The following is a 26,574-nucleotide window of genomic DNA, read 5'->3' as shown; positions in this document are numbered from 1 at the left end:
GATCAAACAACTCACTGTTCAAAGCATATATTTCTTTATTAATTTTTTTTTTTTTTTTGAGACGGAGTCTCGCTCTGTCGCCCAGGCTGGAGTGCAGTGGCGCGATCTCGGCTCACTGCAAGCTCCGCCTCCCGGGTTCACGCCATTCTCCTGCCTCAGCCTCCCGAGTAGCTGGGACTACAGGCGCCCGCCACCACGCCCGGCTAATTTTTTGTATTTTTAGTAGAGACGGGGTTTCACCGTGTTGGCCAGGATGGTCTCGATCTCCTGACCTCGTGATCCGCCCGCCTCGGCCTCCCAAAGTGCTGGGATTAAAGGCGTGAGCCACCGCGCCCGGCCTCTTTATTAATTTTTTGTTTGCTTAATCTATCAATCACTGAGAGAGATTTGTTAATGTTCCTGTTGTTAAAATTTAAAAGGGAATCTATTTCCCTTTTAAACGCTGTCACTTTCTGTTTGCATATTTTGATACTTTGCTAACCCGTTCATGGCAAGTTTAGAATTGTTACATCTTCCTGGAAAATTGGAACTTTTATCATTGTGCAGGTATCTCCTTTTCCTGAGCCCTTACCCACTTTTTTCCTTAAAGCGGCTTTTGTTTGCCGTTTATATAGTAATCATGACCCTTTTTTGGTTAGCATTTGTCTAAAAAAAATTTTTTTACCCTTTTATTTTGAACTTTTCTACTTCTGAAGTTTTAGGTATGTCTCTCAAAAATAGCATTTAGCTGAATTTCTTTTTTTCTCTCATCATCTAAACACTTCTGTTTTATAATTTAGTTCATTTAAAAATACGTGATTACATATGCATTTGTAATGTATTGTTAATGATTTGTTTTGTGTTTTCTACTTACCATGGCTTTTTTCTTTACCTCTTTTTCTTGAACTCCTGGCCTCAAGCAATCCTCCCACCTCCGTCTCCCAAAGTGCTGGGATTACAGACCTGAGCCACCACTCCGGCCTCTTTACCTTTTTTCTTTTTCTCCTTTCCTGCTTTCTAGATTTGCCATTCTCATCTTTTCTCCATCTTCTAGTTTGAAGTCTGACCTCTCCAGAATGATTTTTCATTTGATTGTCAGTAGCCCCAGAGTTATCACCAGTCTGTGATCATTCTGCATGTGGTGAGTTTTGGGGAATGGTTTCTGGATCAAATGGGTAATGTAAATTCAAACCATAAACCTGTTTTTAGAAGACAAGCTTATGTTAATAAATTCTTAAAGGAGACTCCCTACCCACCCCCCCAAACCCTGAAAAGAAAGCAACATGATATAGACAATTTCTTGTGACAGTTGTTTGTGTGCTTCTACTTCTTCCTTTTATTGCGGTTGCAGCTGTTCAAGACTCATTTTTGTGAGGAATTTCTCAGTTTCAGCTCCACACTTAATGTATACTCTATGCCATATCTTGCCTCTGCTTGGACTTTAGAACTCAAACTTCAAACTTGTTCTGACCAGCAACATTCCTCAATGTGCCTGCAGTTTCAGCTCTGGGTTTTCTCTGGCTTTCAATTTTCTCTTCATTCTTTGCCACTGGTAATCTCCTTTACTTTCATTGGAGCACAGCTAGGCATTTAAAAAGATGTTTGCTACATTTTACCCAACATTCCTAGCTGTTTTGTAGTTGGGGGATTTTCAGGTTCTCTAGTCTGCCATATTTGTAGAAATGGAAGTTGAACTTCAAAATTTTTAATACTTTTTTTCTAACAAGTTATTTAGGTTTTCACTTGATCAGGATGACAATAAGGACCTTGAGATTCACTAACCCTATTTTGTTATCAAGCTTTTCTCTAAAACTCAAAAATAGTTAATATTTTATTTTTATAATAAAATTTTAATTCATTTTACTGATGATTTATTTGTTCGGCATTGTGTTTTTCTATCAGATGACTTCCTTTTGGATTCTATTTTCCTTCCCTCCTTCTTTCTTTCTTCTTTCCTTCTTTTTTTCTTCCCTCCCTCCCTTCTTTCCTCCCTTCACTCCTTCCTTCCCTTTTTTTCCTGTCACTCTTGATGATGGTTTAACTGGAAATAACACCTTTTGTTCTTAAGACAAAGAAAATAAATATTACTTTAATGTTTCCTGGTCTTTATTATTGCTAAGGGAATGGCTGTTTGGTCTAATTTTTGTTCCTCTCAAGATAATTTCTTTTTTTACTGGCAACTTTCATGATTTTATCTTTATATTTGATGTTATGCTTTTTTTTTGTATAACAATGTGTCTGGGTACAGATTTATTTATTTTTTACTCATTACTCAGAATATAATTTTGATCTAAAGATTAGTGTCTTTAGATTTTGGAAAAACCTAGCCATAAACTCTACAGATATGAATTCTGCACCATTCCCTCCTTTTTTTCTCTTCTGGAACTCCTGTTAAAGGGATGTTGCGGTTTCCCAATCTATTCTCCATATCTTGATCATATTTTTCTGTTCTTTGAGTCTTAGTGTCTCACTCTGGGTGAATTTTTTGCTATCATCACTTTTCAATTCATTGATTATTCAACTGTGTCTAGTTTGTTCTATTTTTCGTTAAAATTAGATATTTCATTTCTAGAATTTCTGGTTGGTTGTTATACAAATTTACTTTTTCATGTTTTAGTTCTGCTTATTTTTATTCCATAATTTACTTTTCTTTGATTGAGGGAATTTCTTCTTCTTTTTTAGTATTCTAAACATACTCAAAATCTTTGTCAGACTACTTTCTAAAATTACTTGGCTAAAATAAAGAATCCTTTAGATAGGCAATAAATATGCTGCACTGGCCTCCTCACCTCGCTAAACTTGTAGTTTCTCTTGAGCTATACATGCAGGCAATTTATTTTTGCCAGTTTCCTTCCTAGAGCAGGATAAATCCACCTCAGATCTTAGCTTTATGCAATAAGCTTTGCTCATTTCCCATCTTATTTCTACAGCACTTTTAGTCACTGTTACCCTACTAGAGATAAAATCCTGGCCATCCATACTTTGCTTCTAAGAATTGGAACCAGCAAGCCAGTGGCTCCGGGATTGCCCATCACTTTGCGTTTTTGTTTGATTTCTGGTCCACAGAGCTGTTCTTCTTGCTTTTGACCTGAGTTGCATCTTCTTATTTTTATCTTTATGTATTTTGTCTGTAATTGCAAAGTGGAGCAGCAGAGATACATCAAATTGTGACCTTTCTATGCCTGCCATTTCACTGGAAGTTTTTTTTTTGTTAATATTTGTAATTATACTTTCTGCTTATAAAGCCAATTACAGAAGTCCCGGCCAGAGCAATCAAGCAAGAGAATAAAATAAAAAGCTTCCAAATATAAAAAGAGAAATGTCGAACTATCTCTGTTTGCTGATGATATGATTCTATACCTAGAAAACCCCAAAGACTCCAACAAAAGGCTGCTGGAGCTGATAAATGATTGCAGTAAAGTTTTAGGATACAAAATCAATGTAAAAAATTCAGTAGCATTTCTATACATCAATAATATTCAAGCTGAGAGCCAGATCAAGGACACAATCCCATTTACAACAGCCACACACATAAAAAATACCTGCGAATACATGTAACCAAGGATGCAAAAAATCTCTACAAGGAAAACTACACAACACTACTGAAAGAAATCATAGATGACACAAACAAGTGGAAAAATATTCCATGCTCATGGATTGGAGGAATTAATATCATTAAAATTGCCGTACTGCCTGAAGCAATCTCCAGATTCAATGCTATTCCTATCAAACCACAAATGTCATTTTTCACAGAATTAGAAAAAGTTATTCTAAAATTAATATAGAATCCAAAAAGCAATCCTAAGCAAAATGAATAAAGCCAGAGGCATCATATTACCCAACTTGAAAATATGCTATAAGGCTACAGTAACCTAAACAGCTTGGTACAAAAGTAGACACATAGACCAATGGAACAGAATAGAGAACACACAAATAAAGTTGGGTAATGTGATGTAAGCCATCTGATCTTTCACAAAGTCAACACAAATAAACAATGGGGAAAGAACTCCCTGTTCAATAAATGGTGCTGGGACAGCTGGCTAGCCATATGCAGAAGACTGAAACTGGACCCCTTCCTTCCAACATTTACAAAAATTACCTCAAGATTAAATATTTAAAAGTAAGACCTAAAACTATAAGAATTCTAGAAGAAAACCTAGAAAACACCATTCTGGACATCAGTCATGGGGAAGAATTTATCACTAAGTTCTCAAAAGCAACTGTAATGAAACCAAAAATTGACAAGTGGGATCTAATTAAACTAAAGAGGTTCTGTATAGCAAAAGAAACTATCAACAGAGTAAACAGCCCACAGAATGGGAGAAAATATTTGCAAGCTATATATCTGACAAAGGTCTAATATCCAACATCTATAAGGAACTTAAACAATTCAACAAGCAAGAAACAAACAAGCCAGTTAAAAAGTGGGCAAAGAATATGAACAGACACTTCTCAAAAGAAGACATACAAGCAGCCAACAAACATATAAAAAAAGCTCCATAGCACTAATCATCAGAGGAATGCAAATAAAAACCACAATGAGATATCATCTCATACCGGTCTGAATGGTTATTATTAAAATGTCAAAAAAATAATAGATGCTGGTGAGGCTGTAGAGAAAAGGGAACACTTATATGCTGTTGGTGGGAGTGCAAATTAGTTCAGCCATTGTGGAAAGCAATTTGGAGATTTCTCAACGAACTAAGAGCTGAACTACCATTCGACCTAGCAATCCCATTACTGGGTATATATTCAAAAGAAAATAAAGCGTTTGTCTGGGCGCGGTGGCTCACGCCTGTAATCCCAACATTTTGGGAGGCTGAGGCGGGCAGATCATGAGGTCAGGAGATCGAGACCATCCTGGCTAACACGGTGAAACCCCGTCTCTACTAAAAACATACAAAAATTTAGCTGGGCATGGTGGCACACGCCTGTAGTCCCAGCTACTCAGGAGGCTGAAGTGGGAGAATCGCTTGAACCCGGGAGGTGGAGGTTGCAGTAAGCTGAGATTGCGCCACTGCACTCCAGTCTGGGCAACAGAGTGAGACTCCGTCTGAAAAAAAAAAAAAAAAGAAAAGAAAGTATTCTACCAAAAAAACCACATGCACTCATAGCACTGTTCAGAATAGCAAAGGCATAAAATCAATTTAGGTGTCTATTAATGGTGGCTTGGAAAAAGAAAAGGTGGTACATATACAACATGGAATCTGTGCAGCCATAAAAAAGAATGAAATTATGTCCTTTGCAGCAACATGGATACAGCTGGAGGCTATTATCCTAAGAAAATTAATGCAGAAACAGAAAGCCAAATACTGAATGTTCTCACTTATAAGTGGGAACTAAACATTAGGTACTCGTGGACATAAAGATGACAACAATAGACACTGGGGACTACTAGAGGGGGAACGGAGGGAGGTGAGTAGTGGTTGAAAAACTAACTTTTGGGTACTATGCTCATTTTCTGGGTGACGGGCTCAACTGTACCCCAAACCTCAGCATCGTGTGATATACCCATGTAACAAACCTGCCTATGTACCCCGATCTAAAACAAAAGTTGAAATTATTAAAAAAATAAATAAATACAATAATTTAAGGTGTAAAAGAAAGCATCTTGGACTTCAGTTGACCATTGTAAAATTGTTTACCCTTGAAGTATCTTAAAACAAGGTTTTGATTTGGAGAAATTTTTTGACATGTGTCATGGTTTCCAACAATAGATATTAAAATTCCATATTCAATAATTATTTGGAATCTTTAAATAAAATATACTCTATTTTTAAAACTTTTTATTATGGAAATTTCAGAAGGAGAGAAAAAGTAAGGATATTAGTCTAATAAATCCTCATGTATCCATCACCCAGCTTCTACAATTATCACCACGCTGCCATGCTTGGTTAATCTATCCCATCTCCACCAACAGTTCATTCTGTTTATTTGTGTTGAAACATATCAAAACAAATCTCAACTATGGTATCATTTTAACCACATTGACTTCATTATATATCTCTAAGAAGGCTTTAAAAATTGTAACCACAATATTATTAGCCAACAAAAGTAACAATAACTCATTAGTATCAAATGGGTTCATGTCCAATTTTCCTCAATCATCTCAGACATGCCTTTTTACAGTTACTTTGTTTGAATCAAAATCCAATCAAGGTCACACATTGAAATTGTTGGTATGTCCTTTAAATCTATTTCAATCAATAACAGTTTCCCCTTATCCTTTTCCCCCCATGTCATGTATTTGTTGAATAGTCTGGGTTAATTGCAGGTCATAGTAATTTAATTTGCAAAATTAGTTAAAAACGTGTAGATAAGTTGTTGAAAGAGCTTGGAAGAAATGCTGAAAATTTTTTTAAAGTACCATTTAATATTAAGGTAGAACATTAATAGAGAATGTCTTCTGTATTAGTCCTTTCTTGCTGTATATTAAATTATTCTAAAACTTAGGTAAGAACAATAAACATTTACTATCTCATACAGTTCCTGAGAGTCAGGAATTTTGAAGCAGCTCAGCTGAGTGGTTGCTCAGGGTCTCTCATGAAGTTGCAGTCAGGTTGTTGGCCTGGGTCGCAATTTCTGAAAACTTGACTGGGCTGTCGGATTCTCTTCTGAGATGACTTACTCACACAGCTGTTGGCAGGAGCCTTCCATTCAAGGAAACCTGTATCTCTCCATAGGGCTGCTTAAAGCATCACTTCCATAGAGTGAGAGTGCTCTGAGGAGGAAGGAACGAAGACAAAAGTCATAGTCTTGTTACCTGAGCTTGAATGTTACATACGCTCACTTCTGCTACATACTATCGGTCATACAGACCATCCCTAGTACAAACTGGGAGAGGAGTGTGAATACTAGAAAGTGAGAATTATTGGGGACCCTCTTGGAGGCTGGCTATCTAAATGGGCAGTAAACCAGAAATAAATTGATTTATCATTCTACCTATTTCCAATCTTGCAAGTAACATAATTTTTCCTTGTGGCAGGCACCAGAATAGGGCACTGATATGACAGTATTAATAGGGACCTTTATTTTCAAGTTCAACTCACATTTTATATATGGTGGGAACTACTTCTTGCCATATGAACATTTCTGATACTATATTAGGAAATGGATGCATCTGTCTTCAATATAGAGGACAATTAGCCTCTAGAAACCCAGGAATGATAATCTTACACACAGGGATCACATCATTAGGATCCACAGCATTTCAGGGATGATCTCAATAACAAAAGTGAATGGACTCCTCATAACACACAATTATGAGTTATTTGCAATAGTTTTTTAGGCTATTAAGCTTCTCATTAGCACAAGATAGTTAATATTCCAGGAATGTATTATTAATGTTACTTTGTCATTATGGAAACAGGAAAAAGAGTACTTGTAGTAATACCATGGATTTCAAAAATGTCATCAGAACAAGAATTAATGCATGCATGAATGAGATGTTCATTATTTTACTGCTTCTTATTTTAACTATATTAACTTAGTCATATATATCTAAGGCATGGCCAAAGGTGGGATACTGCAGATATGATAAAGGCATAATGAACATATTATATCAGTAAGCATTTATCAGCTCTTTTAAAAATAATTCAAATAATAAGATGTTAGAAAGGATGAGACCTTAAAGTGCTTATCATTTTATCCCCTCATTTCAAGGATCTCACAGGTAAAGCAATTTACCCTAACTCAAAAGGTAAATTTGTATCTGTATTCTAACTAGAAAATGGAACCAGAATGCCTGACTCTTATTCCAGGGATCTTTCTAGCACATTATACCACTCTCTAATCATTAAAAATAAGACATCCTCAGTATCGTCTATAAGATTTTTATTAAATTCAGTGGAGTTTATGAGGCAAAATACTATAACAGCAACAGAAAACAAAAACCAAAATTAATATAAATTCAAATTTTTTATTATTTTAAAATATTTAATTGACAAATAAAAATTGTATATAGTCAAGGTATACAATGTGATGACCTGATATGGTATACATTGTATAATGATGATCACAAATTAACACATCCATCACTATCTATGCTATACATTAGACTCCCAGAAATTGTTCATCTTATACATTTTTGGTTTGTACATTTTGGTCAATATCTTTTTATTTCTGCCAGCCCCTAGGCCCTGACAACTACCACTCTACTCTCTGTTTCTGTGAGTTTGACTTTTTTGATTCCTTATGTAAGTGGATCATACAGTATCTGCCTTTCTGTGTCTAGCTTATTTTACTTAGCACAGTGTCCTCCAGGTTCATCCATGTTGTTGCAAATGGCAAGATGTCTTCCTTTTTTATGGCTGGATGGTATTCCATTGCGTATATGTTCCGTAGTTTCTTTATCCAGTAAACTGTTGACTGGCCCTAGGTTGTTTACATATCTTCAATGCTTCAATGAACATGGAGGTGCAGATATCTCTTTAACATACTGATTTCATATACTTTGGATATATACCCAGAAGTGGGACTGCTGGATGGTATTAGTTCTATCTTAAATTTTTTTTTTTTTTTTGAGACAGAGTCTCGCTCTGTCACCCAGGCTGGAGTGCAGTGGCGCAATCTCAGCTCACTGCAAGCTCCACCTCCTGGGTTCATGCCATCCTCCTGCCTCAGCCTCCCGAGTAGCTGGGACTACAGGTGCATGCTGCCACGCCCGGCTAATTTTTTTTTGTATTTTTAGTAGAGACGGGGTTTCACCGTGTTAGCCAGGATGGTCTTGATCTCCTGACCTTGTGATCTGCCCGCCTCGGCCTCCCAAAGTGCTGGGATTACAGGCGTGAGCCACCGCACCTGGCCTATCTTTAATTTTTTTTAGGAACCTCCATACTGTTTTCTATAATGGATATACCAATTATAGCCTATCCAACAGTGTACAAGGGTCCCCTTTTCTCCACACTCTTGCCAACACTTGACATGTCTTGTCTTTTTTACGATAACCCTCCTAACAGGTATGAGGTGATGTAGTCCCTTTTATTTATTTTTGCTTTTATTGTTTGTGCTTTCAGTATCATATCCAAAAAATAATTTCCAAGGTCAATGTCAAGGAGCTTTTCCTCCATGCTTTCTTGTAAGAGTTATATGGTTTCAAATCTTACATCTTTAATTCAGTTCAAGTTAATTTTTTGTGTATGGTGTAAGACAAAGGTGCAGTTTCTTTCCTTTGTATGTGGATATTCAGTTTTCCCAACAACACTTATTGGGAAAGAGCCTTTTCTTTCCCCATTGTGTATTCTTGTCACCCTTGTAAAAGATTGGTTGACCATACATGCATGAGTTTATTTCTGGATTCCCTAATCTATTTCACAGGTCTATGTGTCTGTTTTTATGCCAGTACCATACTGTTTTGATTACTATAGACTTATAATGTAGTTTGAAATTCAGCAGTGTGATGTGTCCAGTTTTGTTTTTTTCTCAGATTGCTTTGACTATTGAGGGTTGAAGCAGTGAAGGAAATAAGAAATGCATTACATAAGGGATAAAGAGCCTATTTTTCTCTTGTTATACACTAACATACAGAAGAAATCTGTTGATAGAAAAACATGCAAATACTGACAAACAAAAAACTGTTGTAGATTTTTATTTATTTAAGGACCTTGAAACTTTCATTTTAATAGTTAGGAACCATAGAGCAAAATATAGAATTTCTGTAGAGTTTCTACTTATTCATTTTGTACTCTCCTTGTTTATAAAGAATGTGAAGCAGCCTTTTGAGGAGTACATACAATAAAATAAGGAGAAATTATAAATAGGAATTATCAGGGCAAGCCAAAACAAAATTACGAGCAGAAAGTCAAGATCAGGAAAAATCAGGGCACAAGAGTCTGCAAAACTCCTGAAATTTAGCTTCAAATTTAGCTCTGAGATTCCTAGAAATCAAAAGAAAAAAAGAAACGCAGTTATTTTCATTAGCTTTGTGGAAGGTTTCCAAGTACCAGCTGGATTCTAAAAAGAAATTTTGCGGGAGGCTGAGGCAGGAGAATGGCTTGAACCTGGGAGGTGGAGCTTGCAGTGAGCTGAGGTCGTGCCACTGCACTCCAGCCTGGGCGACAGAGTGAGACTCCGTCTCAAAAAAAAAAAAAAAAAAAAAAAAAGAAATTCTGTACATTGGGCTTTCTATCAGGAATACTGAATGATATAGTGGACAACAATTTCAATCTACAGCAAAATCTGTAGTGAAATTCTTATTAGCATTTCTTGTGTTGTCCTTTGAAAATTACACTGATGTTAACACATATTTGAGTTGCTGAAGGTTATTTCTGAAAGTCTAGGGTGGTTTAGGTCCTAGACACCTGATCCAGATTGCCTACTTAATTGAAAAATAAAATATCTAGAAAAATGAGGGAATTGAATATCATTTGAATACTTTTGTAAGTATATCATAAAATATGGTTATCAGTGCTTTGATCAGAAAACCATACAGTTAATTTGTATGAATAATTGTTATTGATGTGTTTATGAAATGTAACAATAATTCCAAAAGAATTACCCAAATATAAATTATATAATAAAAAGATTTAATAACCTCAATGTAAAAAATCAGGTTATTTCAATAAAACGTGAAATTGGTGAGGATTAGTGATGATGAATAAATGCATATTAAATCTGTCATTCCATATAGATGAGATCAATTGGCACTTTTTTTATATATAGGTGGAGATATAGAGATCAAATTTTTTAATGTAAACATAGACGTTAGTACAATAAATCCAGTGTTGTACTGGAGCCAAATCATACTAGCTCCTGAGAGCTAATTGTTGGCATCGTTAATGTTATGTTGGTAACTTGAAATTAGCAATGTTGGAAGTATTTACACTACCAAAACCAGCAATTGGTAAACACAAAAGCACTACAAATCACAGCTTTTTGCGGGAGGACCAGTTTACTAGAACACCACATAATAAAACTATCATATACAACTTCCATATTGAGAGGTGACAGCATGCTGGCAGTCCTCAGAGCCCTCGCTTGCTCTCGGCAGCTCCCCTGCCTGGGCTCCCACTTTGGTGGCATTTGAGGAGCCCTTCAGCCCCCCACTGCACAGTGGGAGCCCCTTTCTGGGCTGGCCAAGGCCGGAGCCCACTCCCTCAGCTTGCAGGGAGGTGTGGAGGGAGAGGCATGAGCGGGAACCGGGGCTGCGTGCGGCGCTTGCGGGCCAGCTGGAGTTCCGGGTGGGCGTGGGCTCGGTGGGCCCCGCACTCGGAGCAGCCAGCCAGCCCTGCTGGCCCCGGGCAATGGGGGACTTAGCACCCGGGCCAGTGGCTGCAGAGGGTGTACTGAGTCCCCCAGCAGTGCTGGCCCACCGGCGCTGCGCTCGATTTCTCGCCGGGCCTTAGCTGCCTTCCCACGGGGCAGGGCTCGGGACCTGCAGCCCATCATGCCTGAGCCTCCCACCCACTCCATGGGCTCCAGTGCGGCCCGAGCCTCCCCGACGAGCACCACCCCCTGCTCCACGGTGCCCAGTCCCATCGACCACCCAAGGGCTGAGGAATGCCAGCGTACGGCGCCGGACTGGCAGGCAGCTCCACCTGCAGCCCCGGTGCGGGATCCACTAGGTGAAGCCAGCTGGGCTCCTGAGTCTGGTGGGGACGTGGAGAGTCTTTACATCTAGCTCAGGGATTGTAAATACACCAATCAGCACCCTGTGTTTAGCTCAAGGTTTGTGAGTGCACCAATCGACACTCTGTATCTAGCTGCTCTGGTGAGGACGTGGACAACCTTTATGTCTAGCTCAAGGATTGTAAATACACCAATCGGCACTCTGTATCTAGCTCAAGGTTTGTAAACACGCCAATCAGCACCCTGTGTTTAGCTCAAGGTTTGTGAATGCACCAATTGACACTCTGTATCTAGCTGCTCTGGTGGGGCCTTGGAGAACCTGTGTGTCAAAACTCTGTATCTAACTAATCTGATGGGGACGTGGAGAACCTTCCTATCTAGCTCAGGGATTGTAAACGCACCAATCAGCGCCCTGTTAAAACAGGCCACTCAGCTCTACCAATCAGCAGGATGTGGGTGGGGCCAGATAAGAGAATAAAAGCAGGCTGCCGGAGCCAGCATTGGCAACCCGCTCCGGTCCCGTTCCACACTGTGGAAGCTTTGTTCTTTCGCTCTTTGCAGTAAATCTTGCTACTGCTCACTCTGGGTCCATGCTGCTTTTATGAGCTGCAACACTCACCGCGAAGATCTGCAGCTTTACTCCTGAGCCCAGCGAGATCACGAGCCCACCGGGAGGAACGAACAACTCCAGACGCGCTGCCTTAAGAGCTGTAACACTCACTGCGAAGGTCTGCAGCTTCACTTCTGAGCCAGGGAGACCACGAACCCACCAGAAGGAAGAAACTCCGAACACATCTGAACATCAGAAGGGACAGACTCCAGACGCGCCACCTTAAGAGCTGTAACACTCACCCTGAGGGTCCGCGGCTTCATTCTTGAAGTCAGACCAAGAACCCACCAATTCCGGACGCAATATCACCAGATTACAAAGAGAAAGACAGAAAGTGAGCAAAGCACAAGGAAAACTAGAACAATGAGCAAACGAAATTTAAAAGCAATGATCAGCTGGGTGGAACGGCTCACGCCTGTAATCCCAGCAATTTGGGAGGCTGAGATGCGTGGATCATTTGAGGTCAGGAGTTCGAGACCAGCCTGGCCAACATGGTGAAACCCTGTCTCTACTAAAAATACAAAAATTAGCTGGGAGTGGTGGCGCACCCCTGTAGTCCCAGCTACTTGGGTGGCTGAGGCAGGAGAATCCCTTGAACCCGAGAAGCAGAGGTTGCAGTGAGCTGGGATAGCGCCACTGCACTCCAGCCTGGATGACAGAGCGAGGCTCTGTCTCAAAAAAAAAAAGTAACTATTTATTAAATCTACATATTAAATATGGCAAGTGTCAAATAGCGTGTCAAAACTATGACCAAATATATCACTCATGATGATAAATATGAAAGGATTAAGCTCTCCTAATACAAGACCGATATTCTACAACTAGGTTAGAGAAAAATTGCAAATAAAGAACAAAGCTTTATCAGGCAAATGAAAGTGAGAGGAAAGAAAGGTTTACAACTTCAACACCAGGCAAAGTAGAATAAAAAGTAAAAAGCTCAAAACTACATTGAAAAGACTGATTTTTATTGACAAAACAATGGTTAAGTATCAGATAACATCGAAATATATAATGCAAAAGTTATCAGAACATAAGGAAAAGTTAGCAAAATCACAACCATCAGGGGAAATTTTGACACAACTTTTCTAATCTTTGACAAATTGAGTAGAAAAAGAAGAAAGTAAGGAAGAGACTAATAATACTATCAATTTCACACACACATTGGTGCTATAGAAAATACACTTTTTTTTCAAATGTCTATGAAACACCAAAATTGATCATATTTCATATTTTAATCCACAAAAAGAATCTTACTACTTTCTCCAAATAAGAAATTGTGTAAACTGCGTTCTTTGTCAAGGTTTCATAAAACCGCATATTAATAGCAGAGTTATAAATAGAAAAAATTGAACCATTAAAAATAAAAAAAACACTCTTCTAAAATGGATATTGGAGCTAGTAGAAATCAAGCTTAGCTTAAATCACTATTTAGAAAATAACGCCAGGGAAAACAATACTATCAAACTTATGAGGCGAAACTGAATTCAGAGGAAACTTACTCGTTTTAAGTGTATTTATTAATAAAGCAACTATTTGACATGAATTGTAAATATTGGTGCAAAAATTCTAAGTAATGAAGTAGCAACCTGAATCCAGTAATATATTCAAAGAATAATAGTTGATGATTAAGCAAATGTTATAATTTATAGTTGTAAATGTTATGAATAATAGTTGATGTTTAAGTAAATGGCGTACCATTAATGCATGGATGGCTCAATATTAGAAAACCAATAATAATTCATAATAGCAGGCCAAAGAAGAACAATATTTCAACAGAGGCTTAAATATTTTTTCTGGAGGGAAAATGCCAATAGATATTCCTAAAGAAAACCCCTGGTAAAATAGAAGTAGAAAGATAGTTTCTTCACATTATAAAAAATTATCTCAGTCAACATTAGCATTATACTTAATGAAGAAATACCAGAAGCATTCCTATTAAAATTCAGAACAAATAGGACTGTCTACTATTATCTCTGTTATTCAATGTCATTATGGACATATTTGTCAAAGCATGCATAAAATATAAATGTATAAATCAAGTATAAATGAAAAGTAGGAAATTTTCATTATTTGTAGGTGATGTAATTCTCGATCTGCAAACCTCTGAAGAATGAAGTACAAAACTATAATATTAATATACTAAAATCAATATACTTACAATATTCCAGCAATAATCCATTTGTTAATGAAATGAAAAACATCTTCACGATACTGACACAAAAATGCCAAATAGTAAAATTTAAAAAAACATGTGCAAGACCAAATTAAGATAACTACAAAACTCTACTAATGACATAAAAGAAGACTAATTAATGGAGAAACACAGGAAGTATATCTACACATGCAACAAACTTTCAAGCAAACTCATATCACAGTATGTGTGTATGCATGCATGCATGTATATATGTATTTAGTATTTGCGTATATGGAGAGAGAGACATAAAATGGCCAGAGCATCCTATAGTTCATCTGAAAGAATAAACATGAGAAGATATCCAATTAAATTCTAATAAAGAAGTGTAAAAGGATGGAGAGAGATGACTTGCCTACCAGATACAAAAACATGTTATAGAGCTACAAGAATTGAAATTGGGAGATGCTGGTGCCAAAACAGAATGATGAATGGAACCAATACATAAGGTATTTCAAATCAGTGGAGACAGCATGATTATTCAATAAACGATTCTGAACAACTGGACAACCAGTTGTACAGGAATAAATTCTAGATAACTTAAAGGATAAAATATACCAAGTAATAGACCCCAGCATTGGCAATATGAGGTGCTAATATATAACAAAGATGGCATTTCAAATTCAGTGAGGAAAGGATGGAATATTTAATATATGGTTCTGGGACAACTGGCTGTCCATATGGAAGAAAATAAAGTTAAACTCCGATTGCACATCATATAAAAACACACACACACAAAAACAGATGGATTAAGTACTAAGCATAAACAAATAAAAACTAAAATCCTGGAAGAAAAATAAGGAGATTACATTTATAGCTTCAGAATAGGGGAGACATTGGCAAAACAGGAGAACCAGAAGTTATTAAAAAATGTAACAGTTTTGACTATATAAAATGGAGATATTTGTTATGGCAAAAGATACCATTAATCAGTAGATTATAGGTCTGGGAGAATTCTGATACTAAGGTGACAAATAGTTAAATATGTACAAAAATTATTACAAATTGACAAGAAAAAAACACCCTAGTAGAAAAATGAAAAAGGATATAAAGAAGCAAATCACAGAGGGCCTGTCATGGGTTTGGGGGCAGGGGAAGGGATAGCATTAGGAGAAATACCTAATGTAAATGACGAGTTAATGGGTGCAGCAAACCAACATGGCACATGTATACCTATGTAACAAACCTGCACGTTATGCACATGTACCCTAGAACTTAAAGTATAATAAATAAATAACCCAACCAACCAAACCAAAAAACCCCACCAGGATTGCAACCCCAACTCTGCCACTTACTGGCCACACGACTCCCATGCATATTGCTTTACTTTGAGCCTCAGTTTCCACATCTTGTAAAATGGTTTTCTTTTTTGGAGTTATGAAAATTAAATGAGATGACACGTATGACTGAGCCCCACCTCCCACACACAAAAAAGTAAATGTCTAAAGCTCACCGACAGGCAGATTCTTCTAAATTGAAATAATGAATTATCATATTCTTTTAATTAAAAAACATTTTCATAGATTTTATTTCTAAAATTGGGATGTCCCTTAGAATTGATGGCATTCTACAATCACTGAAGGCTGAGTAACAGTCATACCATGATTTCCCCTGCTGCACATGCATGAACATGGTTGTTGCTACCGGAAGCATGGCTGGCCAATTATAATCTCTACATGTTTCACTCAACAAAATTACGGAAGAAAAGAATATGAATCCTGACTGTTTATTTAAAACCTTGTATTGACAGTTTCTGATATAATCAAGAAGAACCCAGCATCAAAAACTGCAGAATGGGTGTCAGTGGCTTCAAATAAAATCCTGGTGATGATAATGGAGCACTCTTTTAAGAACTGTTGCACCACCAATGTTTTTGATGACACATAAAATAACATTATGTGCAAAAACATGGATGATGATGATTTTGAGTTGAAAGCATACATAAAAGTTGGATTCAATGTTAGAAAGGTTTTTTTAGAAATACCATAACCAATTTAGTTTATTTATATGCACAGGAATAATATACAGTAAAATTATTTGGATAAGTATGTCTAAAAGAACTTTTCAATAAGAATAAAATAAAGATTCTAAATGATTAGAAAGCGTTGTGTCATTTTTAACTGGTAGCACATTTTCTTTCTTCTTAGTGGTGCATAAAATAACACATCTTAAGTAAATTAACCCTTCCTTTCTCCCTCCTCCTCAGCCTACTCAACACGAAGACAATGAGGATGAAGAATTTTATGATGATTCACTTCCACTTAATGAATAGTAAATATATTTCTCTTCCTTATGATTTTCTTCAAAACTTTTTCTTTTCTCTAGCTTCCTTTATTGTAAGCATACAGTATATAATACATTTAACATGCAAAATATGTCTTATTCAACCTTTCTTGTTTTCTGTAAGGCTTCCTGTCAACAGTAGTACCTATTAGCAGGTAAGTTTTGGGGGAGTTAAAAGTTATACAGAGATTTTTGACTGTGCAAGGGTGGGGAGCGCTCTGATCTCTGCATTTTTCAAGGGTCAACTGTATTATGTCTCTCCTATTGGAAAAACAAGATCTCCCTTCCAAAAAGATGTGTATAATAGCATTTTTGCAAAGCAAATGATGACCTCCAAACTCGTATATATAACAATAGTTAACATTTATAAAACACATATGGTGCGCCAGAACTCTTCTAAGAAATGTACATGCATTAACTCAATTAGGTAGGTATTACTATGATGCTCAGTTTACAAATGAGGAAACTGAGGTATAGGGAAGTAAAGTCACTTGTCCAGGTTCACACAGCCGGTAAATGGCAGGAATGCAATTTGAACCTAGGCATTTTGGCTCCAGAGTGTCCATGTTCTCTCTTAATGATTCATTCATATTCTCATAGTCTCTTTCTCTCTCTCTGAAACGCACACATTCTCTCTCTCTCTCTCTCTCTCTCTCTCTCTCTCTCACAACACCCCTCCACATTTTGTTTTTCTCTTTATGCCCCTCCCTCATTGGGTTTAATTATGAGCATGAAGAAAACTCTGGAAGGATATATACTAAGTCATTAACACAGGTTATAGGGGTGAAGGTGATATAGGAGAATGTCAAGCAAAAAGAGAAAAAGAATAAAAAAAGAGAAGAACTCCATCAAAACTCCAGCTGTGTATGATATAGTTATGATTATGCCTTATATAAAATTAAATGTATATATGTATAAAACATGATAAATAAAAGTTATCTAAAGATTTTAAAGACAGTCCATAAAATATATACAAATGGTCAACACATTTGAATTTTACTGATCATAAAAATATCAAATTAAAAGAATGATGGCATATGGGCAGGGCCCGTTGGGTCACGTCTGTAATCCCAGCTCTTTGGGAGGCTGAGGCGGGTGGATCAGTTGAGGTCAGGAGTTCGAGACCAACCTGGACAACATGGTGAAATCCTGTCTCTACTAAAAATACAAAACTTAGCTGGGCTTGGTGGAGTGCACCTGTAATCCCAGCTCTTGGGAGGGTGAGGCAGGAGAATCCCTTGAACCTGGGAGGCGGAGGTTGCATTGAGCCGAGATCGCACCACTGCCCCCCAGCCTGGGCAACAGAGCAAGACTCTGTCTCAAAAAAAAAAAAAAAATGATGGCAAATGATTTCTGCCCATGGAATTTGCAAAGATGAAGAAGTGAAATATACAATGTTACCAACATAGCAGGAAAATGGGAGCCCTTATATGCTGTTAGTGAATATTAAATTGGTCCAACCTATCTGACGGGAAATGGAAATGGCAGTATAAAAGTAAGTCTTTTGATTAAGTACTATTACTCCTAGGAATTCTCCTTAAGGTAATATAATAATTAGTGATGATAATGAATATTAGCGTTAAAGATGTTCAATACAGATCTATTATTTCATTTGTTCATATATTCATCTATACTCTGGTACCAGGATGTATATTTAAGTGTTAATTAAAACAGCAAAGAAGAAAAATGAATGGGAGAAGGAAGAGGAGGAGGAGAAGGAAGAAGAAGAGGAAGATGATGCAACCCCAAGGTCTAAAAATATGAATGGCTAAATAAATTGTGATATATTTATTTGATGGAATATTATACAACAATTAAAATTACATTTACAAATAATATTTTCTAACAGGAAAAAATTCCTATTAGACTGTAAAGTAAAAAATGAATATGTCTATTTTTTTTTCTTTTCCGAGACGGAGTCTTGCTCTGTCGTCCAGGCTGGAGTGCAGTGGCATGATCTCAACTCACTACAACGTCTGCCTCTCGGGTTCAAGCAATTCTCCTGCCTCAGCCTCCTGAGGAGCTGGGATTATAGGTGCGCACTACCATGCCTGGCTAATTTTTGTATTTTTAGTAGAGACAGGGTTTTGCCATGTTAACCACGCTGGTCTCAAACTCCTGACCTCAGGTGATCCACCCATCTCAGCCTCCCAAAGTGCTGGGATTACAGTCGTGAGCCACGGCGCCCGGCGCCTATGTCTGTTTTATGATTTAAAAACTGTACAACAGATTTAAGAATTAATAGAACATTTAAATAATTATACTGGTTATTTTGAATATATGTGGTTATTACTTTTATTTTTATTTATACTTTACATTTCAAAATATTTTATAATTTTATATGTAGATATTTAGTTATATTACTATATATTTATATACTTTGTATATTTCATAATTAGGATGCAAGGTTATTATTATAAAAAGAAAACAGAAATTAATCTCTACTGTATTATGCTATATTACTGAAAACAATGGTGCACTGCAGTAACATAGAATGGAATTCAGTAAGGACAGTCTTCCTTAGATAGTCTCTCTTTTACACTTTAATGTCACATTTAACAATCATACAGTGCCTGGCATGAATCTAAACGTGGTATTAACACGTTTAATCCTCACAACAACTCTTCCTTAAAAACTGAGTCACAGAGTTTCAGTAACTTGCCCTAGGTCACACAGCTAGAAAGAGGCAGCACCTGGACTTGAATCTAGGTAGTTTGATTCCAGAGCCTGGCTCTTAATATCTATAGTTAAGCCCATACCACAAGTGAACAAAACAATGAAATAAAGAATATTAGCCGGGCGCGGTGGCTCATGCCTGTAATCCCAGCACTTTGAGATGCCGAGGCGGGCGGATCACCTGAGGTCAGGAGTTCAAGACCAGCTGGCCAACATGGTGAAACCCCCCCCCTACTAAAAATACAAAAATTGGCTGGGTGCGGTGGCTCACGTCTGTAATCCCAGCACTTTGGGAGGCCGAGGCGGGCGGATCACGAGGTCAGGAGATCGAGACCAAGGTGAAACCCTGTCTCTACTAAAAATAGAAAAAAAATTAGCCGGGCGCAGTGGCGGGCGCTTGTAGTCCCAGCTACTCGGGAGGCTGAGGCAGGAGAATGATGTGAACCCGGGAGGAGGAGCTTGCAGAGAGCCGAGATCGCGCCACTGCACTCCAGCCTGGGCGACAGAGCGAGACTCAATCTCAAAAAAAAAAAAAAAAAAAAAAAATTAGCCAGAGATAGTGGCGCGCGCCTGTAATCCCAGCTACTTGGGAGACTGAGGCAGGAGAATCGCTAGAACCCGGGAGGAGGAGCTTGCAGAGAGCCGAGATCGCGCCACTGCACTCCAGCCTGGGCGACAGAGTAAGACACCGTCTCAAAAAAAAAAAAAAAAAAAAAAAAAAAAAAAAATATATATATATATATATATATATATATATATATATATATATTAGGAACAATGATATAATCATATAGTATAATTGGAGATGGAGCTGAAATTTAGGGGCATATTGATTAAATGAATGTGCAATTAAGTAAAATTATTCAAAATATTATCTGTGGCAGCTTATTGGCAGAATGTGAAGTAATAAGCAACAATTTTAGTTTTTCTCCACATCTTATTAGATAGCTAGTAATGATAGCTATCTAATTATCTATCATTAGACAGCTAGCTATCTAATGACAGATAATTCAGATGTGCTGTTGATATCGCAGTAACCCTCCTTCCCTTTCCTTCCTCCCTTCCCCACTCCCTCCCTCCCTTCCTTTCTTCCTTCCTTCCTTATAGAAACAATTCTCATGTTTTTGTCCAGACTGCCTTTTAAAGGTCTCTACTATCCCACAGGCACAGAAGCCAATTCTTCATAAAAGCTCTTTGATGAGTGCAGTTGCTTCAGGCTATCTCACCAAATCTCACCTTCCCAACCTACTCTCATCAGCTTGTGCCTCCCATATAAGACTCAGATTTGATTCTTGCCAATGAACAGCCCTTCTTCTTCCACTTCAGTCCCAAGCCAGGTTCTGATGATTTCTTGCTTTACTACGTTGCCTTGCCTTGGACGTAGATTTGGTTCTTGTATTAGTCTGGGTTCTACAAAGAAAAAGAACCAATAGGAGCTATATGTACACAAATATTAGATACTATGAATATGTATATATCTAATAGATGTATAATATATACATATATACTTACTTATTTATCATAAGAAATTGGCTCATATACAGATTCAATGGTATTCCTATCAAACTACCAATATCATTTTTACAGAATTAGAAAAAACTGTTCTAAAATTCATATGGAACCAAAAAAGAGCACAAATAGCCAAAGCAGTCCTAAGCAAAAAGAACAAAGCTGGAGCCATCACACTACCCAACTTCAAAATACAAGGCTACAGTAACCAAAACAACACGGTACTGGTATAAAAATAGACACAGACCAGTGGAACAGAATAGAGAGCCCAGAAATAAAGCCACACACGTACAGCCATCTGATCTTTAACAAAGTTGACAAAAATATGCAATGGAGAAAGGACACTCTATTCAATAAATAGTGCTGTGATAGCTGGCTAGCCTTATGCAGAGAATGAAACTGTACTCCTATCTTTCACCACATACAAAGATTAACTCAAGGTATATTAAAAATTTAAATGTAAGACCTCAACCTATAAAAATCCTAGAAGAAAACATAGGAACACCATTCTGGATATTGGCCTTGAGAAAGAATTTATCACTAAGTCTTCAAAAGCAATTGCAACAAAACAAAAAATTGACAAGTGGGATCTAATTAAACTAAAGAGCTTCTGTACAGCAAAAGAAACTATCAACAGTGTAAACAGACAACCCACAGAATGGGAGAAAATATTTGCCAACTATGCATCGAACAAAGGTCTCATACCCAGGATCTGTAAGGAACTTAATTCAACAAGCGGAAAACTAATAACCCCATTGAAAAATGGGCAAAGGACTGAACAGACACCTCTCAATAGAAGACATACAAGCGGCCAACAAACATATGAAAAAATGCTCCACAACGCTAATCATCAGAGAAATGCATATAAAAAGCACAATGTGAAACTATCTCACATCAGTCAGAATGGCTATTATTAAAACGTCAAAAAATAACAAATGCTGGTGAGGCTGTGGAGAAAAGGGAATGCTTATAGACTGTTGGTGGGGATGTAAATTAGTTCAGCCATTGTGGAAAGCAGTTTGGAGATTTTTCAAAGAACTGAGTTGAGGCCGGGGGCAGTGGCTCATGCCTAAAAGCCCAGCACTTTGGGAGGCCAAGGTGAGAGGACTGCTTGAGTCCAGGAGTTCAAGACTAGCCTGGGCAACATAGCAAGACCCTGTCTCTACAAAAAAAAATCAGCTGGGGAGAAGAAAAAAGAACTGAGAGTGGAACTACCATTCAACCTAGCAATCCCATTACTGAGTATATACTCAAAGGAAAATAAATCATTCTACCGAGAAGACACATTCACTCACGTTGAGTGCAGCACTATTCACAATAATAAAGACGTGGAATCAATCCAGGTACCCATCCAGGGTGGATTGGACAAAGAAAATATGGTACATATATAACATGGAATACTATGCAGCCATAAAAATGAATGAAATTATATCCTTTGCAGCAACATGGATGTAGCTGGAGGCCATTATCCTAAGTGAAGTCATGCAGAAACAGAAAACCAAATACTGTATATCCTCACTTGTAAGTTGTAGCTAAGCATTGGGTACACATGGACATGAAGATGGCAACAACAGACACTGAGGACCACTAGAGTGGGGAGAGAGGGAATGAGGCAAGGGCTGAAAAACTACGTATTGGGTACTATGTTCACTACCTGGGTGACAGAATCATTCCTATCCCAAACCCCAGCATCATGCAATATACCCATGTAACAAATCTGAACATGTATGCCCTGAATCTAAAATAACAGTTACAATTATTTTTTAAAAAAGAAATTGGTTTACCTGGTTGTGAAAGCTGAGAAGTCCTAAGATTTACAGTCAGCAAGCTGGAGATTCAGGATTGCTGATGGTATAGTTGTATTTTGACCTGAGAACCAGGAAGGCCAATAGTGTAAGATCCAATCTGAGTCTGAGTGTGAAGGCAGGAGAAGATAGATGTCCCAGCTGTAAGAGAGTCAGGCAGAAAGAGTAAATCCTCCCTTATTCCACCTTTTGTTCTATTCAGGTCTCCCACAGATTGGATGATGCCCATCCACACTGGGGAGGGTAATCTCCTTTTTTTCAGTCTACCAATTTAAATATTAATCTCATCCAGATTAATATTTAACCCTCACAGACATACCCAGAATAGTGTTTAACCAAATACATAGGCATCCCATGGCCCAATAAATTTGACACAGGAACTTGACCATCACGAGCTAACCCTTTGTCAGCTTGGCACCCAACATGCATCTCTTTAACCACACTTAATCTCCATATAAAATGACAAGACCACAGTTCCACCCAATATGATACAACTCTCCTACACACAAGGAAAAATGCACTAACCCCTTCTCTAGAAGAAGAGGTAAAGTACTTGAGTGATGTTTACTCTCCTTGAGATGTCATAACTTAAATGCTATTATATAAAATTAACAATACGTTATAATGTTTCTTGAGACAAGGTCTCGCTCTGTGGCCCAGGCTGGAGTGCAGTGGCACAATCATGGCTCACTGCAGCCTCCACCTCCTGGGCTCAAGTGATCCTCCCACCTCAGCCTCCTGAGTAGCTGGGACCACAAGTGCATGCCACCATGCCTGGTTAATTTTTAAATTTTTTGTAGAAGCAGGGTCTCCCTTTGTGGCCTAGGCTGGTCTTGAACTTTGCGGCTCAAGTAATCCTCTTGCCCCAGCCTCCCAAAGTGCTGGGATTACAGACATGAACCATTGTGCCCCAACAAATGAACAATATAGTACTTAAATGCTATGATATATAGTTAATATGTGACATGATAGGGGAATAAGAGAGGGAAGAAAAAGATATTTTGCATACACACACAAATATATTCATAAAATAAAGAGAAATACTCATGACAATTACAGTCTTTGTTTCTGTAACTGGTCATGTGGCTGTAGCTGGTATTTATAACTACTTTCTTCCACTACCCATTCTGTATTCCCTTTGCCTTCAGCAACCACCTCAGCTGGTTATGGTTGTTTGCCTGGTGGAGTGACCCAAACCTTCATTCCTGAAGGGTCTGGGCCACTTTTTGTCCTGCCTGCATTGTGTTGTTGCAGCTTCTCATTTACCTTAATAATGGGGCACAGTAATACTAAAGAGATGCCCTGCGGCAAACTTGTCCAACCCGTGGCCCATGGGCCGCATGCATCTCAGGATGGCTTTGAATGTGGCCCCACACAAATTCATAAAGTTTTGTAAAACATTATGAGATTTTTTGGCGATTTTTTTTTTAGCGCATCAGCTATCATTAGTGTTAGCATATTTTATGTGTGGCCCAAGACAATTCTTCTTCCAGTGTGGCCCTAAAAAGCCAAAAGATTGGACATCCCTGCCTTAAGGGATCTCCTGTATTCCACACATGCTCTTCCTTACCTCCACTGTGGTGTAGTACTCCAATTTCACCTTGGTAATCAGGATCAATCATCCCAGCCAGCATAGTCACTCCTTTCCTTGCCTGTTGAGTGAGAGGCTTGAGGAATACAAAGTGGCTGGGTGGCAGTGTTAACTTGCAGTTCAATGGAATTATTATTTTGTCTCCTGGTGGAAGCATTTCTCTCTTTGGAACTAAGACCTCTAAGCCAGCAAAACATAAGGTCATGGGAACAGGAAGTAAAAATTTTGCTAGTAGGTCACTAGGGATAATAGTGGGTGGTGACATTCCTATTTCCATCACTTGATTCCTGGACTCATGAATCCTAGCTATAAGGAGAAACAGCATCATATATTGAATGCTGGTTCAGAACATATACAGCCGTCTGGAGGAATGCTGCTCTGGCCCTGCTATAGCAACCTTTAAAAGACTATTCCACTGTTTTATCCAACAAGCTGCTTCAGGATGGTGGGGAACATGGTAAGACCAGTGAATTTCATGAGCATAGCTCCATTGCTGTGAAGTGAATTCCTTGATTAGCAGAAGCAATACTGTGTGAATACGGGATTCTATAAATCCATGGATGGTAGTTTTGGCAGAAGCATTGCATGCAGAGAAGGCAAATTTGTACCCAGAGTGTCTGTTCCAGTAAGAGCAATCACTGACCTTTTCATGATGAAAGCACGCCAATGTAATCAACCTGCCATCAGGTAGCTGGCTGATTAGCCTCGGGAATGGTGCCATATTGGGAGCTCAGTGTTGGTCTCTGCTACTGGAATATCGGGCACATAGCAGTGGTCATAGCTAGGTTGACCTTGTTGAGTGGAAGTCCATGTTGCTGAGCCCATTCATAGCCTTCTTTCTTGCCACCCTGGCCACTTTGTTCATGAGCCCATTGGGCAATGATGGGGTGACTGAGGAAAGAGGCTCACTGATCTCTATGGAATAGATCATCCTATGCACTTGATTAAAATCTTCCTCTGCTGAGGTCAACCTTTGGTGAGCATTCACATAGGACACAAACATCTTCACAATTTTTGCCCATTCAGATAGGTCTATCCATGTACTTCTTCCCCACATTCCCTTGCCAACAATTTTCCAATCATGTTCCTTCCAATCCCTTACCATCCAGGCAAACCATTGCCAATAGCCCATATATTGGCATATTATTGCACATCTGGTCATTTCTCCTTCCTAGCAGAGTGAGCAACCATGTGCACTGCTCAAAATTCTGGTCACTGGGAAGATTTCTATTCACCAATGTCCTCCAGGAATGTCTCAGAAAGGGGCTGAAGTGCTATTGCTGTCTACTTTCAAGTATATTGTGCGGAACCAGGCCCAAATCTTCTGTTTCTCTGTCAATTGATTGTAGGGAACTCCCCATAAGGCCACAGGTGAGACTGGGAGAAAGAAGGCAGCGTAGCAGCTGTGGGGACCACAGGCATTTCATGTAGCTTACTTGTGCCTTCAGGGCCTGCTTGGGACAAGTCATGTATATATTGCTTCCATTCAATGATGGAGTGCTGCTATGCATGCCCAACCTTATGGCTTGGTGGGTCAGATAACACCCAGTTCATGATGGGCAGCTCAGGTTACCTGGTAACTTGGTGATCCATGGTTAAACATTCAGTTTCTACTAAGGTTCAGTAACAGGCCAAGAACTATTTCTTAAAAAGAGAGTAGTTATCTGTAGATAATGGCAGGGCTTTGCTCCAAAATCCTATGGACCTGGGCTGTGACTCACCTAGGCCTGTCAAAGGCTCCAAACAGCACCCTAATTGAAAACTGACACCGTAAGCAGCACTGGATCTGCTGAATCCTATGGACCAAGTGACAGAGTAGATGCATGTCAGACTGGATCTCTTGCAGAGCCTTCTCTTATTTTGGGTCACACTCAAAACTAGCAGCTGGGTGGGCACAGTGGCTCACATCTGTAATCCCAGGACTTTGGGAGGCTGAGGTGGGAGGTCTCTTGAGTCCAGGAGTTTGAGACCAGCCTGGGCAACATAGGGAGACCCCATATCTACAGGCAAAAAAAAAAAAAAAAAAATCCAGGCTTGGTGGCACCCACCTGTGGTTCTAGCTACTCAGGAGACTGAGGTAGGAGGATCACTTGAGCCTGGAAGGTTGAGGCTGCAATGAGCCATGATTGCGCTATTGTACTCCAGCATGGGCAACAGAGTGAGACCTTGCCTCAAAACAAAGAAAGAAAAAGAAAAAAAACTAGAAGCTTTTTGGATTAGCTGGTAAGTGGGACGGAGTAATGCCTCCAAATGAAGACTATGTTGCCTCCAAAACTGAAAAAGGCCTACTAGGTATTGTGTCTCTTTTTTTTTGTTGTTGTTGTAAGAAGGGCCAGATGCAAGAACTCATTCATCTTAGAGGAGA

General features: G+C 38.5%; 2 long non-coding RNA genes across 2 annotated transcripts in view; one reads left to right on the top strand and one right to left on the bottom strand.

The window, feature by feature from the left end:
* Positions 1 to 26,574, top strand: part of LOC107985714 (uncharacterized) — a 114,069-nt gene that overhangs the window by 18,610 nt on the left and 68,885 nt on the right. The window lies entirely within an intron of this gene.
* Positions 20,405 to 26,236, bottom strand: LOC105373296 (uncharacterized). Its single transcript, XR_938468.3, has 3 exons — positions 24,189 to 26,236; positions 22,598 to 22,759; positions 20,405 to 20,714 (listed from the first exon to the last, which is right to left on the bottom strand). It is a non-coding gene; the product is annotated as an uncharacterized LOC105373296 (long non-coding RNA).

The sequence above is a fragment of the Homo sapiens genome, chromosome X, assembly GCF_000001405.40.
Source record: "Homo sapiens chromosome X, GRCh38.p14 Primary Assembly".
Classification (NCBI taxonomy): Eukaryota; Metazoa; Chordata; class Mammalia; order Primates; family Hominidae; genus Homo; species Homo sapiens.
The sequence above is the reverse complement of the archived record's forward strand: the minus strand, read 5'-3'. Positions and strand labels throughout refer to the sequence as shown.